Source organism: Homo sapiens, chromosome 4, assembly GCF_000001405.40.
Source record: "Homo sapiens chromosome 4, GRCh38.p14 Primary Assembly".
Taxonomy (NCBI): domain Eukaryota; kingdom Metazoa; phylum Chordata; class Mammalia; order Primates; family Hominidae; genus Homo; species Homo sapiens.
Window position 1 is genome coordinate 8,574,040 of NC_000004.12, and position 18,725 is coordinate 8,592,764.

General features: G+C 55.5%; 1 protein-coding gene across 2 annotated transcripts, besides 3 other annotated features; it reads left to right on the plus strand.

Moving 5' to 3' along the window:
* Positions 632 to 1,186: an enhancer, noted in NCBI's record as "H3K27ac-H3K4me1 hESC enhancer chr4:8576398-8576952 (GRCh37/hg19 assembly coordinates)". NCBI's record gives its function as "activates a minimal SCP1, AML or CMV promoter by ChIP-STARR-seq in primed H9 embryonic stem cells {active_cell/tissue: H9 hESC(primed)}" and the evidence as "EXISTENCE:reporter gene assay evidence [ECO:0000049][PMID:30033119]".
* On the plus strand, positions 6,353 to 15,984 carry GPR78 (G protein-coupled receptor 78). Of its 2 annotated transcripts, none has more exons than NR_045511.3 (3): positions 6,353 to 6,665; positions 8,492 to 8,605; positions 13,015 to 15,984. NR_045511.3 is itself a non-coding variant. In NM_080819.5 (3 exons), exons 1-3 carry the CDS (start codon positions 6,944 to 6,946, stop codon positions 13,322 to 13,324), a joined length of 1,092 nt encoding a protein of 363 aa, NP_543009.2. In that variant the 5' UTR covers positions 6,353 to 6,943; the 3' UTR covers positions 13,325 to 15,984. The 2 variants fall into 2 exon arrangements, 1 of the variants encoding a protein (NP_543009.2); NM_080819.5 differs by having other exon boundaries at positions 6,353 to 7,611.
* Positions 6,513 to 7,174: an enhancer, noted in NCBI's record as "H3K27ac-H3K4me1 hESC enhancer chr4:8582279-8582940 (GRCh37/hg19 assembly coordinates)". NCBI's record gives its function as "activates a minimal SCP1, AML or CMV promoter by ChIP-STARR-seq in naive H9 embryonic stem cells {active_cell/tissue: H9 hESC(naive)}" and the evidence as "EXISTENCE:reporter gene assay evidence [ECO:0000049][PMID:30033119]".
* Positions 13,069 to 13,569: an enhancer, noted in NCBI's record as "H3K4me1 hESC enhancer chr4:8588835-8589335 (GRCh37/hg19 assembly coordinates)". NCBI's record gives its function as "activates a minimal SCP1, AML or CMV promoter by ChIP-STARR-seq in primed H9 embryonic stem cells {active_cell/tissue: H9 hESC(primed)}" and the evidence as "EXISTENCE:reporter gene assay evidence [ECO:0000049][PMID:30033119]".
* Positions 15,985 to 18,725: the final 2,741 nt, after the last annotated feature.

An 18,725-nucleotide genomic window follows, 5' to 3' on the forward strand; every position in this document is an offset into this window, starting at 1 on the left:
CATCGTCTGAGCATCGGCGTGTCCGGGTGACCGCTGTGGGGGCGGTTGTGACACTCGTGGTGACACTTATGCCTCTTTTATTTATTAAAAAAATGTTTTTTGGGGCCAGGTGCAGTGGCTTGTGCCTGTAATCCCAGCACTTTGGGAGGCCGAGGCGGGTGGATCACCTGAGGTCAGGAGTTCGAGACTAGCCTGACCAACATGGTGAAACCCCGTCTCTACTAAAAGTACAAAAATTAGCCAGGCGTGGTGGTACACGGCGTGTAGAGTGCCACTACACTCTAGCCTGGGTGAAAGAGACTCTGTCTCAAAAAAAAAAAAATTTTTTTTTTTTGAGACAGGGTCTTGCTCAGTCGCACAGGCTGGAGTGTAGTGGTGTGATCTTGGCTTACTGCGGCCTCTATCTCCTGGGCTCAAGTGATCCTCCCACCTCACTCCCCTGAGTAGCTGGGATTACAGCTGTACACCACCATGCCTGGCTAATTTTTACATGATTTTCTGGAGATGGAGTTTCATCATGTTGCCCAGGCTGGTCTCAAATTGCTGGGCTCAAGTGATCCGCCTGCCTCAGCCTCCCAAAGTGCTGGGATTACAGGCATGAGCCACTGTGCCCAGCAACTCATGCCTCTTTTAATCCTCATACCAACCCTATGGGGAAGCTTCTGAGTTCCCACGCTGCAGATGAGGAAACTGAGGCTCAGGGAGGATGAGGCCATACTGCTCAGAAGAGAAGGTGCAGAATCAACCCAGGCCTGAATGGCTCCTCAGCCGGAACCCTTTTCCTTCCTAGTGCCAGAGTTTTCTTCCAAGTATCGGGAGACACTCTTACCTTGGCTGTGGATTCTTTCCATCCTGATGTCCTCCATCTGGTTGAGGCTAGGGCCTACCTCCTCAGCCTCCTGTTGCAGGAGGCCTGCCAGGGTGGGCCACCCCTGGGGCCAGAGCAGCCAAGGGGCCCGGTTGGCTCCCTGCACTGGGGCTGCCTCTGGGAACAGCTTTCCAGAGTTGCAGGTGCTTCAGGAGGACAGGAGGCCAGGTGAGTGGCCCAGCATGATGCCCTGGCTGCAGGGTTGTCTCTGAGGATAAAGGGACCCTGTGCAGGTGATCAGGTAGGCAGGGCTCCGGGCTGCTTCGTGACCTTCAGCTGAGACTCTAGGACCAGCCCACACAAACCCCTTTCTCCTCTGGAGGGTTCTTCACACAGGGTGGGGCCAGTGCAGAGCTGGTCCTTCCCAGCTGAGAGCTTCTTAGCAGCAGGAGCTCAGGCTGCACTGACCAAGACCCCAAAGGCCTCCAGGGCTGCCAGACTGAAAGGTCAGGACACAGCCCCTGCCAGCAGCCTTTGCTGACATCCCACAGCCTCTAGGACAAATCCCAAATCACTTAGCCTGGCATTCCAGGTTTTTTAGGGGTTGCCCTGGCCATAGTCCACAACCTTGAACTTTGCTTCCCGCTGACCCCTTCCTCCTCCTTACCATCTGATAATCTCTTACTCATCCCTTCTTGTCAAACTCTGCTGTCCTTCAAAATTCTCTTGCTCTGGGGAGACCCAGGCTGGGTCAGGTGCCACCCAAGGGTCCCCCAGAGCCTGGAGCCTCCCTCAGCCTCAGTCATACCTGGAGGAGTCATGCCCAGTTTCTGGCCTGCCCTTGGCCCCCGGCCCGTGAACTCCCAGAAGACAGGGACAGATCTTATTTGCCCTGTAGTCACAGGTCCCAGCTCCATGGCACTGAGGGACCCTTCCGTGTTTCATTGAGGAATTAGTGGGAATGTGTTGCTGCTGAGGGCATGTGTGATTTCTAAGTGTGTGGATAATATTGCCAGCTGTAATACTTTCCTACCTCTCTGCTATTCTAAGGAATTCCATGCTCATGATCTCTCTCTCTCTCTCTCTCTCCCCCTCCCTCTCCCTCCCTCCCTCCCTCCCCCTCTCTCTCCCTCCCCCTCTCTCTCCCTCTCTCTCCCTCTCTCTCCCTCTCTCTCCCTCTCTCTCCCTCTCTCCCCCTCTCTCCCTTCCTCCCTCCCTCCCTCTCTCCCTCCCTCCCTCCCTCTCTCCCTCCCTCCCCTTTTCTCTCTCTCCTTTTCTCTGTCTCTCTCTTCCCTCCACATTTCCTCCCTCCTCCTGGAAAGATAATTTCTACTGGGATTTTACAAAACTAAGATGCTCCAAGGCAGGAAAACAAAATTAAATCCAGTCATGATGGTGAGGCCTCCAGATGGAGTGCTTGATCTAGGCTTTTCTTCCTGAGTGATTTTCTGATTTTCAAAGCATTTCGTGCTCTCACAGAAAATGTAAAAGTGACAGGAAAGTGTAAAGACACAGAAAAACAACCAACCACTCCTAGCTCCATCAGCCATTGGTGACCATGACTGGTGGCCTGGCATCAGGATCCGGTGCTTCTATACCTTGTTCAGAGGTCCCAGTGTTCTCAGTGGTTTCCGCTAAACAATCCACAGTGGGATTTTTCCTTGGGACATCTGCTTTTCTTTCTCTCTCGCTCTTTCTCCCTCCCTCCCTCCCTCCCTCTCTCCCTCTCTCCTTTTTGTCTTGTCTTTTCTCTTTTCTTTTCTTTCTTAGATGGAATCTCGCTCTGTTGCCCAGGCTGGAGTACAGTGGCACGATCTCAGCTCACTGCAAACTCCATCTCCTGGATTCAAGTGATTCTCCTGTCAGCCTCCTGAGTGGCTGGGATTACAGGTGCACACCACCATGCCTGGCTAATTTTTGTATTTTATTTATTTATTTATTTATTTATTTATTTATTTATTTATTTTTAGTACAGATGGGGTTTCACTATATTGGTCAGGCTGGTCTCAAACTCCTGATCCACATGCCTTGGGCTCCCAAAGTGCTGGGATTCCAGGCATGAGCCACCATGCTGGGCTGACACCTGCTTTTTAATGGCCGCACAGGACTATGCTGTAGGGGAATAGAATCACGCACTTGCCGCCTTCCCGTTTTTGGAAGTTTCATTCATTTCCCTGTCTTTCCACCTTCCTCCTTTCTCTTTTCCGCCTGTCTATGAGCAATCATTTTTGTTAACATGCCAGATTGTTCCTTCCAGTTGCTTTCCTGCAGTCAGGGCTTGATAGCTGTGGGCTCCCCCAGCCCCTCCAAGGCTTCTAAGTGACCATGTGCGTGCAGCTCTGGGGAGTGGTGGAGGTGTCAGGAGGTTTCACAAGGGGACTTTGGTGTAGCCACTCACAGCGGCCCCTGTCACCTCTCAATGACTCCAGGGGGAGACGATTTCACTTGCAGGGGAGCAGAGAGCATCTCTTCTGAGACATGAGCGCAGGGAAGCTTCGCCAGCCTGTATTACGGAAAGGCAGGCCATTCACTCATCTGCAAGGATGTACTGGGCACCCAGCGTGTACAAGAGAATGTGCTGGATACAGCAGACTGTGGTGATCACACAAGGCTTGATTTCTTCACTTTGTTGAGCAGAGAGAAGACGTGGACAAAGTCAGATCTGATCAATACAACCACCCTGGCCCCCCAGGAGAAACAGCAAGCTTATTTTGTGAGATAAGTGAATTGTATCAATTACATCATATTGCAGTGCTATCACTGATGACAAATTCATTTCCACAGATATACACCGACAGCTTGTTACATGCAACTGGGGAGGAAAAATGAGAAAAGCGGGAAAAGAACAATGGTTAACTGAGCTCATTTGATTTTATTTAAACTTGCTTTAGTACTAAGCTTATTTCTTTTACACCTATTGAATGTAACCTTATTTAATTCTTACCCCACCCCTCGAAGATGGGTCTTCCTGCCCCTATTTTTCAGATAAGGAAACAATTAAGCCATTCACTTTAATTAAGCAGCAGTGGCATCTCAGCCTCTGCACTTCATCTCAGCCCAGCACTTCTGTTGGGGCTGAGATGGAAGTCTCGGAAGGTGCTCTGAGGAGGTGTGACTCTCCCTGGCTGACAGGGGAAGGCTTAGCAGAGCTTTGTCTTAGAGGAGTAGATGAAAAGGAAAGTACAGAGAGGGCATTCAGGCCAAGTCAGCAACACAGACAAAGTCAGGTAATGTGGGTTAAGTGCATGGGTGATGAGTAAAGGGGATGTGGCTAGATGGTGTGAGTGTGTGTGTGCTTGCATGTGTGCCTGTGTGCGTGTGTGTGCATGTGTGTGTCTGTGTGTGAGTGACAGCAACAGCAAAGGGCCCGTCATGAGTGGCTAAGACCAGATGTAGGTAGACTTGGAGGGGCTGCTAAGGAATTTCATAGGCAATGGGGAACCATGAACTATCACTAGGCAGGGGAGGAGCCTTCGGGAACTAATCCTGAACTTTATCATTGCAATGCGTATCTCAGCAAGAATGGGCAGGATTGCATAGTTAGGAGTACTGCCTTACTTTTTAAAGAAGTGGTGAAAATATTTAATATTTTCATATACTTTTTCTTTTTGGAAGATAAAAGGATTAGGTCCAGCATTTCACCCTACAGAGGATTTAAATTTTTCATCAGGAATGAGATTTGAGTGTAAGAAGATGAAACGATATTATACTGATAAGACCACAGGGTTCAAAACCACCCCCTACAACCCAGGGAAGGGGGGCAGCCAGGCTGGCAAGATCTGAGGCCAGAAGCACTGGGGCTTTGGGGAGAGCAGCAAACAGAACAGATCTAGACCTATCAAGGTGCCCTCACCAGAGTCCAGAGATCTCACCACACACATTTTCTCATTCATGCAGTTGTCCAGTACATCCTTGCAGATGAGCAAATGGCCTGCCTTTCATAATACAGGCTGGTGGAGCTTCCCCATGCTCATGTCTCAGAAGAGATGCTCTCTGCTCCCCTGCAAGTGGAATTGTCTCCCTTTGGAGTAGTTGAGAGGTGACAGAGGCTGCTGTGAGTGGCTAGACCAAAGTCTCCCTGTGAAGCCACGTGATGACTCCACCGCTCCCCAGAGCTGCACATGGTCGCTCAGAAGCCTTGGAGGGGTTGGGGGAGGCCCCTGCTCTCAAGCCCCCACTATCACAATCACTTTGTCCCAGCTATTCACCTGCAAACTTGCTTGATCTGCAGAAGCTGCAGAGTGGCCCACTCTTCCTGGACATGTCAGGAAAACTTTGACGTGGCTGCTCTAGCTTCAGGGAAGGTCTAATTTGGTGAAAATTTGAAAGCAGGTTTGTGGGAGTGCCAGGGAGAAATGGGGAGAGAGAAAGCCTCTGTATTTGATGGATGGCAATGGCTTGGAGCTGGTGTGATGGCCTCTCTGGATGACAAGGACATTGGACTTAGAGCCAGAAGGACTGAGGTATGAATCTCGGCATTCCTGGTTTGTAGTTATGGGGACTTGGCAGAGACACTTGAATGAAACTTCCTTTGCCCAGGTATAAGACGGACCCCCTAATAAAGGTTGACTGTGTTCTGATCCTTCACTGCCTGCTGGGATGTCCTCAGCATTTTGTGCATGTTGGCCAATTTAACCCTAACAGCAACCACCAGAGGCAGATGCTATTGCTGGCTATTAATATCCCCATGTGACAGATGAGAATGTGAGGCCCAAGGGGTTTAAGTGGGGCTATGAATATCCCCATGTGACAGATGAGAATGTGAGGCCCAAGGCACAGAACCAGGGGTGCCCCAGCATGCCAGTTGTGCACCTGTGGCTTTTCCCTTGGCCACTTTGCAGCACCGGCACGAGAGAGGCCCACAGGGTGAGCCTCCACACCACCAGCCACCCTTTGTCCCTCAGAAAGGGCTGGCAGAGCCTGCAGGTGAGGGTGGGTGTGGGGAGGGGTGGGCAATCGTCTGCCCTTCATTTCTGTCATGTTGTGGCTGTCACTGGGGAGAAAATGCCAAAAAGCTTCCTGGAAGAAGCAGCTTCCAGGAGGCTTCACCATATCCTTGTCCTGCCAAGTGGCCACGAATGGATTAGAAGATTCCCACTGGGTGAGAAGGCTCAGAAGCCACCACAGAGGATGGCGGAGGTGGGAGAGGCCTCGCACCGCGGGGCTCCAGGAGCCAGGTGAAGGACAGGCATTTCTGTATGGCACCCAGTTCTGGGTGGGTCCTCCCAAGGTGCCCCCTTCTTTGTCTCTCCCTCTGTTGCTTTTCTCTCCTCTTCCCTCTTCTTCCCCCCACTTCCTCTTCACTTTTTCTTCACTTTTTCTTCTTCTTCTCTTTCCTTCCCCCATGCCTTTCTCAACCTTGTTTCCACTTCTTGTCGCTCTTCTTGCTTCAACAAACGTCGATGCAGTCACAGTTCCTGGGCTGAGGCTGGGGGATGGGAGGAAGTCCTGAGGGCAGCCCCCGCCCCCTTCCCCGCCCCGTCACTCCCTCTGCCCCGCCTGCACAGCTTCTTGCCAATTCATTCCCGCCCCTACCGCCCCTATAAGCCACCAGGTCGCTCCAGTTTGGTGCCAGCGCCTGGAGGGAGAGGCGTGGCGAGGGCTGTGCTGCCTAGGATCCACTGAGTGGCTCTTGCTGGCGTGTCAGCTGCGCGCGAACCAGGGCTGGGAGGCTCGGCTGGAGGTGTGACCAGGGCAGGGACTGACCTGGCCCGGAACAGAAGCGCGCAGAGTCCCATCCTGCCACGCCACGAGGAGAGAAGAAGGAAAGATACAGTGTTAGGAAAGAGACCTCCCTCGCCCCTACGCCCCGCGCCCCTGCGCCTCGCTTCAGCCTCAGGACAGTCCTGCCGGGACGGTGAGCGCATTCAGCACCCTGGACAGCACCGCGGTTGCGCTGCCTCCAGGGCGGCCCCGGGCTGCTCCTGCTCCGCAGAGCTACGCCCTCCCCCCGGGTGCCCCGGACCCTGCACTTGCCGCCGCTTTCCTCGCGCTGCTCTGGACCTTGCTAGCCGGCTCTGCACCTCCCAGAAGCCGTGGGCGCGCCGCTCAGCTGCTCCATCGCCTCACTTTCCCAGGCTCGCGCCCGAAGCAGAGCCATGAGAACCCCAGGGTGCCTGGCGAGCCGCTAGCGCCATGGGCCCCGGCGAGGCGCTGCTGGCGGGTCTCCTGGTGATGGTACTGGCCGTGGCGCTGCTATCCAACGCACTGGTGCTGCTTTGTTGCGCCTACAGCGCTGAGCTCCGCACTCGAGCCTCAGGCGTCCTCCTGGTGAATCTGTCTCTGGGCCACCTGCTGCTGGCGGCGCTGGACATGCCCTTCACGCTGCTCGGTGTGATGCGCGGGCGGACACCGTCGGCGCCCGGCGCATGCCAAGTCATTGGCTTCCTGGACACCTTCCTGGCGTCCAACGCGGCGCTGAGCGTGGCGGCGCTGAGCGCAGACCAGTGGCTGGCAGTGGGCTTCCCACTGCGCTACGCCGGACGCCTGCGACCGCGCTATGCCGGCCTGCTGCTGGGCTGTGCCTGGGGACAGTCGCTGGCCTTCTCAGGCGCTGCACTTGGCTGCTCGTGGCTTGGCTACAGCAGCGCCTTCGCGTCCTGTTCGCTGCGCCTGCCGCCCGAGCCTGAGCGTCCGCGCTTCGCAGCCTTCACCGCCACGCTCCATGCCGTGGGCTTCGTGCTGCCGCTGGCGGTGCTCTGCCTCACCTCGCTCCAGGTGCACCGGGTGGCACGCAGACACTGCCAGCGCATGGACACCGTCACCATGAAGGCGCTCGCGCTGCTCGCCGACCTGCACCCCAGGTATTGGCCCAGTGCATGCCGACAGGCCCAGGCCAGGGACTTGGGCGCTCCCTGGGCAGTTGGCTTGAGGAGCCTGTGGGCATCACCACCGTTACTCCGCCCAGAGTTCACCAGCCACAGCACTGCCCCTGCACGCTGCTCACAGGGGTTTCCTGTTGGTTCATTGGTGCAGACACTGCGGGGGCCTCTGCCTCCTGGGATATGTGCTCAGTGCACAGGGAGCTTTGCGCAGAGCTGTGGGGTGTGCTTCTCCGGGAGGGGTTCCGCGGGCTCTGCTGTGGGCGGCCAGACACACCCCTCCTGTGCATGGCTGTGGGTCTGAGGCATCTGCTTGTTTCTGCCCACTGCTGACCCAGTGCCCTTGCATGGACTTGGGCTTCAAGTCTTGAGCAGGGTCCATCCCCCATGCTTTCTGCTCACTACTTGGCAGGATTTGTCTCCTGAATCTCTAGCTGGTGTCGCCATTGTTCCAAATTACCTCCTGTAGGTGTTCCCCTTTCCCCCTTGGCCCCCCACAGAACACCCAAGAGGCTCTCCTGCTCCTGGGGTGGGCAGGCCACGTGACTTCTCCCTCCTTGAGGGCCCCAGCCTTGCCCCTCCATCAGCAGCCTGCCTCAGTTGCCTCTGTGTGGAGAAGGATGAGCCAGAGGGAAGGGAGGAGGAGCTGGCCCTTCTTTCCAGACTTCCTTTATTTCACCTACAAAAAAGCAAGCCTACCCCTTGTTCTTTCTCTCTCCCCCATCCCTCTGTCCTCCTCAGGTTCCAGGCTAAACATCCTCCTGAAACCCTCCTGTCTGCCCTCACTTCAGCCCCTGGGCTCTGGGCCTGGGTTCTGTCCCCACCCTGCCATCATCCTGACCACTGTCCTCTGTCCCCACAGTGTGCGGCAGCGCTGCCTCATCCAGCAGAAGCGGCGCCGCCACCGCGCCACCAGGAAGATTGGCATTGCTATTGCGACCTTCCTCATCTGCTTTGCCCCGTATGTCATGACCAGGTGGGTCCTGGCAGTCCGGCTCCTGTTGTGGGAACAGCTGGGTGGGCTTGGCCTCAGTTGAGTAGGCCTCTGAGGTTTCCCAGCAAGATATCTGGAGGGCGGCCACCACCAGAGGACCCTCCTCCACACCTGACGGGCTCAGGGCTGTGCTTCAGCTCCTGGGAAAGATCCTGGGAGGGAGGTGGCACTGGCTCCCATCCTGTCCTATAAATGAGGAGACTCTCCTTGTCCAGGCACAGGCAGATATGGGGTCTGTGAATCAGCACCTGGCTCTTTAAACCTAGAAAGCTTTCAAAATCAGGCAACCTGGGACTAACTCAGGCCTCAGACTCCGCATCTCCTGGGCGTGGAGTTGGGAATCTGGGTGGAAGCTCCAGCTGGAGCCTCGGGGCAGTAACACTGCCAGGTGAGTGTTCTCTTTGCTTCTCTCTTTCCTGGAGACCTTGGCCTGAGTGCTTGTCAGGTCAGAATTACCTGGAGTCACAGGTAATTTGGGAAAGAGTGTGTGTAAAGGGCCTGCTGGTACCATCATCACAGTGCTGTGCTGAGGGGCAGGGGAGTCTGTAGTTTTTGCCTCCGGGGTTCCTGGGTCACCCACTCGGCCACTTGGTTACTACCTTAGCTCCACTCAAGGAAATGTGTGCACCCTGCCTTGCTGGAAGGCACCGTGGTTAGAGGGAGGCAGGTTGTTTATTAGAGATGGTGACTGCTTGCTATTACGTTTTGCCTTTCTTGGAATCTCCATGGAATTTCTGGCCAGGCCCCTGAAGCGCTCAGGCTGTCTGGGAGGTCTCCACCCTATGTGTTGAGCCATAGCAGGAGGATACCCTGAAGGAAGACGCTCCTGGGAGGGGTCCATGGCCCTCATCCTCAAGGGGCCCAGGTCCCCACCCCAGGGGAGGGAGCCAGCAGGGAGTATAGTACCAGGATCCTGGCTCTGTTTGTGTAGGGTCCTCCTGAGGTTGCTATCTAATGCCCTACAAGGTCTGCCAGCCTGTCCAGGATGACTGCTTGTCTTCCCAGGTTACTGGGTGGCTTAGATATGTTGTTGGGTGGGTGGGGGGGAAACAGTTGTGTCCCAGGAACCCGGGAGGCCCCAGAGTGCCCACGCTGAGTGGCACCAGCTCTCTCCTGCCTGCCAGGTTCCCTCTGAGCTCTTCAGAATCAGCACGTGGGACAGGAGCTCTTGGCACCACTGATCCCATCTGGCTTAGGGACAGGGAGCCAGGTTTCTTGTGGATCACAGGCATCCTCCTTCCTCACATAAAACCTGGCAAAGGCCTCTGGTTCTTAGGAAACTTCATGGGCACAAGTGTGGATGGGGAAACTGTAGCATCCTTCTCCCGGGAACCAGCTATTTATCTGATTATCATGTTTGTGTGTATGTGTGCCCATGTGCCTGCGCATGCATGCATGTGTATGTTGTGAGGGTTCATGTGTATACACACATGCATGTGTGTATTCATACATGCACATGCATGTACATATGTGTAGAAGGTGAGTGCTAAAATTTCAAGAGCTCCAGCATTTAGTTTTGAAATTTTAAATGAATGATGAGTGAGACTGGCTTACTCAGCCATATTATGTTGATTCATGGGTGTAACTGTTATTTTCCTGTGTGTTTACAATGCCCTGAACATGTATGTGAGCATGCATAGCTATGAGTGTGCACACGAGTGTAAGAGGAAGAATCCCAAACAAAGTCATGAAGCCTGCCTTTGCAGTGTTGTTTCCACAATGTCGTTACCAACTCTGGGATCTGGGCAGCTCAGGCTCTCTTCTCTGTGAAAAATGTGGGTACAATATAGCACTAACGAGGTTATATATTTCTTCATGCACTCACTAAGCATTTAATGAGCACCTACTCTGAGCTGGCTTTGTGCCTGGTCATGCAGTTACAAAAGCAAATGGAACACAGGCTCCTCTCGGTTCTGATGGTGGGAGATGCAGGTCAGCAAGACCAGGCAGGTGTTTCAGTGGGGGAGGGGTCTTGAGGGCTGGCGCCTGGGAGCAGCACAGCTGGACCAGTTTGGACGGACCTGCCTCACAGGCGCCTCTCACATCATAGGAGTGAACCGAATCAGAACCTCACTCCTGAGTGTGTGTGGATGAGGTTCTAATGCAGTTGGTGGCTTAACCCACAGGAAGTCAGAGATCCAGGAGTGTGTTGTCCCTGCTGCCCCTTAAAAGGTAGTGCACTCATTCCAATTGTCCTGCAATTGCTGAAAATATTTCAGAGCTCTTCTCCTGGGAATTGTTTTCAGAACTGGGCTGCATTGTTAGACTCTTCTGTGGACATCTAGAAGGTGAATTTAATCTGGTTAGAAATAACTCCAAGTCACCTTGAGCCAGTTCATGCGGATAAAGCAGGTAAAGGAGATGGGGGACATGGGATTTTTATTTTGTTTCTTGGTTGTCACTCTTGAGTTTTACTGACTCAATCAGTCGTGCAGATGAAGCCCGTGGGGTGTGCGGCAGTGAGACCAGGAGGGCAGGGATACAGAGCCCTCCCTTGTGGAGTCTGTGGTCTACTGGAGACGGGGGAGGGCAGATGGCTACGGTCACAAGGTGTTGAGCAGCAGTGGACACGTGAGCGAGCCCTCTTCTCTGCAGGGTCATGGCTGGTAGTTGATACATGAGTTCTGGTCCCATTGTGGCTCCAGACACAGCCTCAGCTGGGTGTTTCTGATGACTTCCACCTGCACCGTGGCTTAACTAGGGGATAGACACTCTGGCATGTGTGTGGCTTTCTTACTCACCTGCAGCCCAGTCCCCTAGTGGCTGAAAGAAATGCCAGCCTCCTCAGATCCTTCGATAGGACCTTCCTTCCCACTTGCCTGATGGTTGGCTGTGACCAGTCTCCAGTCTATGCCTGATATTGGGCTCCCTGTATGTGGGGGTGACAGTGTACCTGATGTGCATGTGCTGGCCGGTGGCAAAGCCCTTTCCGGACTATCACTTACTGTAACTGGATCCTCACCACAGCCTGGGGTAGGTGGTTAGAGCCATGACTGCCTTGGATCTGTGTCCCTGCCCTGATTTTTGGATTCTGGATGCCTCTGCTCTGGCTGTGCCCCTCACCTTCTCTCTGTCGTCACATTCTGGCCCTGCCCCTCAGCTTGAGGTGGTTGCCTGCCTGCCTGCCTGCCAGCCTCCTCATCCCCATCCCGCCGGACTGGGTGCCTCGGAGGGAGGGAGTCAGTCTGATCCATTGCTGCACCCCAGCAGCTGCTGTGTTTGTGGGTGGTCCAAACTAATGAGTGACCCAGCCAAACTTGTAAATCACAGGGCTGCAGTCCTTCTGAGTGGGGGTGGGACATCCTGGGACAGAAATTCACTGCCTGGGAGATCATCAGGCTGTGGGGGAAAGCCCTGGCCTTTGGGGGCCCTGGTTCAAAGCCAGGAACTGGGAGGTGGAACAGCTGCCACTGGTCAGCAAGTGTGCTTGTGACAGCTGTCAGAAGCCTCGTCCTCACTCTGTGGCCCCCACCTAAGGCTGTGCTGCCGCTGGTCAGAAGCCTTGTCCTGACTCCATGGCCCCTACCCTAGGCTGTGCTGAGAGCGGAGGGGTCCGTCAGAGTCCCCAGAGGCCCATCCCCCTGCTGCTTTCCCCCACGCAGAGCCCAGTCCCTTCTACTCTGAGTTCTAATCTGATTTCAGAAAAGCACTGGGCTCAGACACAGAGTGTGAGACTGAGCCTTTCTTATGGGAGTTGTGTGCCTGGTGGTCCTAGAGACACCCTCGAGCTTCTCTGAGTGATGCTTCGGGACAGTGGGTAGGGAAGCACCCTGCGTGGTGTGTGGTGCCCGTGGACATCCTGTGAGTGACTGCTGTTCATGTGGGTGAGGTGGTCACACTTGCTCAGGGTCTGTTCTGCAGCCCAGGTTGACACCTGTTACTCCAACCTGGTTATGAGCATTGTTCTGATCTGTTCTCAACATTGTCCAGGTTTGGGAGATAAATGCCAGAGGAGAGTCTGGTTGGGGGCTCCCAGAGCTCACATCTGGGGTGTGTTGGTCTGCAGCCTGGTAGTGGTAATGGCTCCCTCGGTAGCTGGTTGTGTGTGCAGGTGTCCGCGGCAGGTGTACGTGCAGGTGGGTGGACTGAGCTGAGTGTGAGGATGGTGGGAGAAGGCCTTGGTGACGGTGGCAGTGCTGCCACCTACTGAGCACCTGCTGTGTGGTATGCGGGCTGATGTCGGCTTGCACCGCAGTCCCAGGACTGGGCCTTGTAATCCCATTTTAGGAAGAGGAGCCCAAGGCTCAGGGTGCTGGTGCAGAGCCCCCTGGCTAGTGAGCATCAGGGCTGCGGTACGTACTTGAGTATGGTTCTAGCACCTTCCCCCGGAGCGTGAGTGCGTGGCAGGTGCTGTCACTGTGGCTGAGTTAGCTGCTCCGCTTCCCCAACAGGCTGGCGGAGCTCGTGCCCTTCGTCACCGTGAACGCCCAGTGGGGCATCCTCAGCAAGTGCCTGACCTACAGCAAGGCGGTGGCCGACCCGTTCACGTACTCTCTGCTCCGCCGGCCGTTCCGCCAAGTCCTGGCCGGCATGGTGCACCGGCTGCTGAAGAGAACCCCGCGCCCAGCATCCACCCATGACAGCTCTCTGGATGTGGCCGGCATGGTGCACCAGCTGCTGAAGAGAACCCCGCGCCCAGCGTCCACCCACAACGGCTCTGTGGACACAGAGAATGATTCCTGCCTGCAGCAGACACACTGAGGGCCTGGCAGGGCTCATCGCCCCCACCTTCTAAGAAGCCCTGTGGAAAGGGCACTGGCCCTGCCACAGAGATGCCACTGGGGACCCCCAGACACCAGTGGCTTGACTTTGAGCTAAGGCTGAAGTACAGGAGGAGGAGGAGGAGAGGGCCGGATGTGGGTGTGGACAGCAGTAGTGGCGGAGGAGAGCTCGGGGCTGGGCTGCCTGGCTGCTGGGTGGCCCCGGGACAGTGGCTTTTCCTCTCTGAACCTTAGCTTCCTCACCCTTGTTCTGGGGTCATGGCGATGCTTCGAGACAGTGGGTAGGGAAGTGCCCTGTGTGGCATATGGTACTCGTGGGCGTGCTATAAGTGACTGCTGTTCATGTGGGTGAGGTGGTCACTCTTGCTCAGGGTCTGTTGTGCAGCCCAGATGGACACCTGTTTCTCCAACCTGGTTATTAGCATTGTTCCGATTTGTTCTCGGCATTGCCCAGGTTTGGGAGATAAATGCCGGGGCGGAGTCTGGTTGGGGGCTCCCAGAGTTCACATCTGATAGTCTGTGGTCAGGACCTGGCAGGCACGGGCAGTCCCTGGGACATGCCCATCTCTGGAAGCCTAGGGGTCCCCAGCTCCAGGCCTGTCCGCTGTGACTGCCTGTGTGGGCACGCAGATGGAGCCTGTCTCCTGCCTTCCTTTCCATGGTTTGCCAGGGGTTTGGCATCTTGACTGCGGAAGCTGTGGAGTCTGTGTGCTCAGAGCCTTTTCTGGTGAAGATATCATCAGAGCATGTGACCTCTGTTTCCTCCCCCTGAAGGCCACCGCTGGGCCTCTGGATCTTAGACATGAGACGGTCAAGAGATTGAAGTAGTAGCCAGGGCCCAGGTGTCCAGAGAGGGTGGCCTGGGATGGGGAGGGCCCTTGCTCCCCAACAGCAGTGCTGGGGGAGCCAAGAGAAGGTGGAGCATCCCTGAGTAGTGGTGTGCATCACCCCCAGTTTAGTAATCACGGGGTGCCATTCCCCGGTGGGAGCACCCACCATCAATGTCATTGAATGTCCCCATGGGACAGTGTTGAGGACTTTTGTGACATCTGTCCTATTTCACAGCTCAGGGAAAGGTGCACAGTGCACACGGGCACCCGGTGGAGAGGTGTGTGTGTGAATGAGTGAGCGAGTGAATGAATGGACACGATTCTCTCTTCAGCCTCTGTCATTGCTGTTTTCTTCAAGGCCCAGGGCCATCCCCTGCAGAGGTAGGGTGGGCTGCAAGACCTCAGGCCCCTGCCTCATGGGACTCTCTGATGGGCTTCAACCGTGGGCTCTTGCAGGCATGGAGCCTGTATCATGACACCTTACACCCAAGGCCAGCAATGCAAGGAGAGTATGGACATCAAATTCTTTCCTTCCAGAGGCTGAATTCTTCAAAGACACACGCGGTCGTCACTTGCTCTTGGCATTAACGGTGGAGAACCCAGCTGAGGTGGCTTCACAGATTCTTCCCCAAAAACACAGGTGTTATTATTATACTTTTAAAAAACTTTTTGAGACAGGGTCTGACTCTGTTGCCTAGGCTAGAGTGCAGTGGTGCAATCTCAGCTCACTGCAGCCTCCACCTCCCATGCTCAAGCCATCCTCCCACCTCAGCCTCCTGAGTAGTTGAGGACACAGGCACGGGACACCATGCCTGGCTAATTTTTGTATTTTTTTTTGTAGAGATGGCGGTCTCACTTTGTTGCCCAGGCTGGTCTTGAATTCCTGAGCTTAAGTGATCCTCCCACCTCAGCCTCCCAAAGTGCTGGGATTACAGGTGTGAGCCACCACACCCAGCCAAAACCAGGTGTTATTTGCTGACTCACCAATGCCTCCCCCAAAAGGATAAATTTAAAGGTGTGTATAACCCATGAAGTGTAATTCAAATAAAACAAATTATCGTTTGGAATAATAACAACTATAGGTATGTGGTCAGGAAGCAGTTAAAAACATTAAAATACAGACCTGGCCAGTTCAATCCAACCCAGGGGTTCCAAGCAGGAGGTGGGGCAGGTGGGCGTCATGCCCTGATTCACAGAGGGCACAGGTGGGTGTCATGCCCTGGTTCACAGAGGGCACGTGAACTCGAGACCGTGCTGCACCCCGGTGCCCCTGTGCTTATAAGGGAGGGCACGTGCACAGCAGAAGCAGGTTGTTCCCCATTTAAAGTTCTGGAGCCCAGGCTGTGAGCTCCTTGGCTGAGCCCTCTCCTGTCCCTGGGAGCTCCCCAGGTGCGAGGAGCCTGCCAGCCAGTGGGGCCTACACTCTGTGTTATTGCATCTCCGCCAGGCTAAAAGCCTTGGTCACTACTTTAGAGCCACTCAAGGAAACGCGTGCACCCTGCCCTGCTGGAAGGCACCATGGTTAGAGGGAGGCACACTGTTTCTTAGAGACGGGGACTGCTTGCTGTCATGTTTCGCCTTCCTCGGCAGCTCCATGGAATGTTCTGGAGCAGGCATCTTAGGGCATTCCCTCCGCACTTCTCTGCCAGCCCATGTGGCTCCCACACTGGGCTATCCCTTGCCTTAGGCTTGTGGCCTTTTTTTTTTTTTTTTTTTTAATTTGAAAAATATTTTTCATGTGCACTTAAACGTGTTGTGGAATGATGCTGGGTCTCAAGAATGCTGTGAATCAATAAACATTTTATTCAGAGGGTGTCTCATTTCCATGGAAAGGGGGGAATTCTGCCGTGCATTAGCCACAGTCCAATTACCAGGATAGCAGAGCTTTCTAGATGCCTGGGCTTGCAGGCAATCCCCTGCTGGGCTTCCAAGACCTCCAGGCTAGGCCCTGCACTGTGTGCAGCGAGCGAGGGAGCCTTCTCCTGTTGTTTTGACGGTGGAGCTGCAAGCTTGGGAGGCTTTCCCGTGGGTGGGCGGGAAGCAGAGAGCCGTGGGGGCTGTGAGGCTGGCAGGGAGCTTGCAGGACATAACTGCTCATTTATTTTATTTGGGGGACCGGAGTTTTTTTATTGATTCCATCTGTCAGAGGGCTGCAGCATTCCATGACGGGTAAGGCAGAGGGAGGCCCTGTGGGAGCCCAGAGTGACAGTCCTCTCTCTCAGCTTGCCTTCTTGTCCTTTTGAGACCATGATCTGCTTCTCCTGAGCCTCCCTCCTGTTCACATGGGATACAAAACTCAGCCAGAAGGGGTTCTGAGCCAGGAGCCCTCTCTCCATCCCCTCTGTGCTTGCTGACCCTCGCCCTCCTGCCTCACCTGGGCACCCATCCGTAGCCAAGCCTCCAGAACCCTTCCTGGTCCCTGTCGAAGCAGTCCTTCCTCTCACCCACCCTCCACCAAGCAGAGCCAGCTCCTAGAAATGCAGCTGAGAGCAGGTTGTGTTCCTGCCAGAAGCCCTGAGAAGTCCCCAGGCTATGGTCTCTGCTCCTGAGCCTGGCATTGCTGGCCCTTTCTGTTCTCTGTCCTCACTGCTCCCCACTCCTATCTACGTGGCCTCGGGCTAAAGTACTGGGTGCCCTAGTCTACTGGCCTCTCCCCAGGGGGCCTGGATCCTTTCTGGGCCTTCTCTTGGTACTTCCTCCTCCTCTGCTTAGCCAAGTCCTTCCACCTGACTGAGGCAGACACAACCCTCCCTCCTCAGGTGCTCATAGCCCCAGCACCCTTCTCTCAAGGGTCCAGCCATAGGGTGGGTAGGAACAGGGTCAGACCCACTTTTATCCCCAGCACCCGCTCTGCAGCAAGTGCTGGGGATGCCGGCATGCACACACCATGTCCAGCTGGGGAGCAGGCTTCCAACGACTGACAGGCTCCTCCGGCTGCCATGCTGACCCTACCCCAACCTCATGAGCCCCAAGGTGGGCCGCTCTTTTGAGCGGTGAGTCTGTGCTCTTTTGATGACACAAAGTGGCTTCTCTCCTAGAAACTTGTCCTGCAGGGCACCCCCCATGGGACCACACACCCGGCCCCAGGGGCTGTGCTCTTGCAGACTTGGCTCTGGCCACACCTGCTGGTTCACTGGCCCCACCTTGACTGCACAGGTGTGGCTGGGTCCTCTCCCCGTGGCCTATTGCCCGCTGGGCTGGCTGGACAGTGTCTGGGGATTTGGTGTGATGGGGACGACTTGGATGCCTCTTTTACCCCTGGGAACGATTAACCCTGTCTTGTGATTTGCCCCTGATGAACCATTTGGTGGGTTGGGCCCTCGTGGGTGAGACGCTGTGGATTAGAGGCTGTCCCTTCCAACTTAACTGTGGAAGAGAGAAGCTGGTTCCAGGAAAGATGACCAAATTCTTCTCCCCGAGTCTTAAAAAGTGACACAAGCTAGCACTCAATTTCCTCAAATCTAAAATGCCGTTGATTTTAAACTGTCTGTTTTAGGTACCACTGGGAAGGAAAAGCCCAGAATGAGGGCTGTGCTAGGAGACACCCTCAACAGGTGGGCCACTCACGGCTGAACGCTCAGCGTCCACGAGAACTAAGCCTGCCACAGCAGGGGACAACAAGGAGGCACGGTGTCCCCACCCCAGCTCTCAGGGAGGAGGAGGAAAACCCTCCCTGGGACTGTGCACTGCCAGCTGGGGCTCGGGAAAGCATGGAGTCTGAATTCGCCCTCAGACCTGGGCTGGAAAGCTCAGACAGGGAAGTCAAAGACTGTGGCCCCGGAGGCTGGCCGGGGCAGTCAGAGTTGCTTCTGGAAGGACCCAGCTGAGTCCAGGCAGAGAGAGGGCAAGGTTGAGCACCAGGCGCCCCAGATCCCGGGGGGTATTGAAATGGGCATCTTTGAGCAGATGACCTGCAGGAAGCAGCACCTGCTGGGTGCCAGCAATGAGTTGGGGCCACAGTGAGTACTGTCTCCATTACCCCAGCCTCTGGGCGAAGGGGCTTGTCCTAAGTCTCAGGGCTGGCTGAGTGGCAGCTGGCTCTGGGGACTGCTACTGGTGCACTGGTATAGCTGGCAAAGGAACCCATGAGGCACATGGCTCCTAAAGGTCCAGCCACCCAGCAAAGCCCCCTCCCCGCATCCACACAGGGGACAAGGGTCAAAAGGTGGGGACATGCCTTCACTTTCCTCACCTGACAGGCCCTGGTCTGCTGGGATCAGCGCTGCAGCCAGAACCCGCATTCACCCGCGACGCAGCCTGTGCAGGGGACCAGGGGTTTTAGGCAGGATCAGCAGGGAATCTGCATACCAGCTCCACAGTGCACTCAGGTGGCAGATGGGGAAACTGAGGCCCAAGGAGGGGCGGGGAGCCCCTTGGACGGGGCGGGGCACTCCGCCCGGGGCAGGCAGGGGCCTTTATCTGCTGTCCTGCCCCTCCTCCTCCCCCAGCGGCATCCTCTCTCTAGCTTCTGGCGCTGCCCACTGTAACCCGACTCCGGCATTTGCGTTTGGGGCGCCCTCCCTGCGCCGGGGGCGGGAGCCCAGCGAGCGC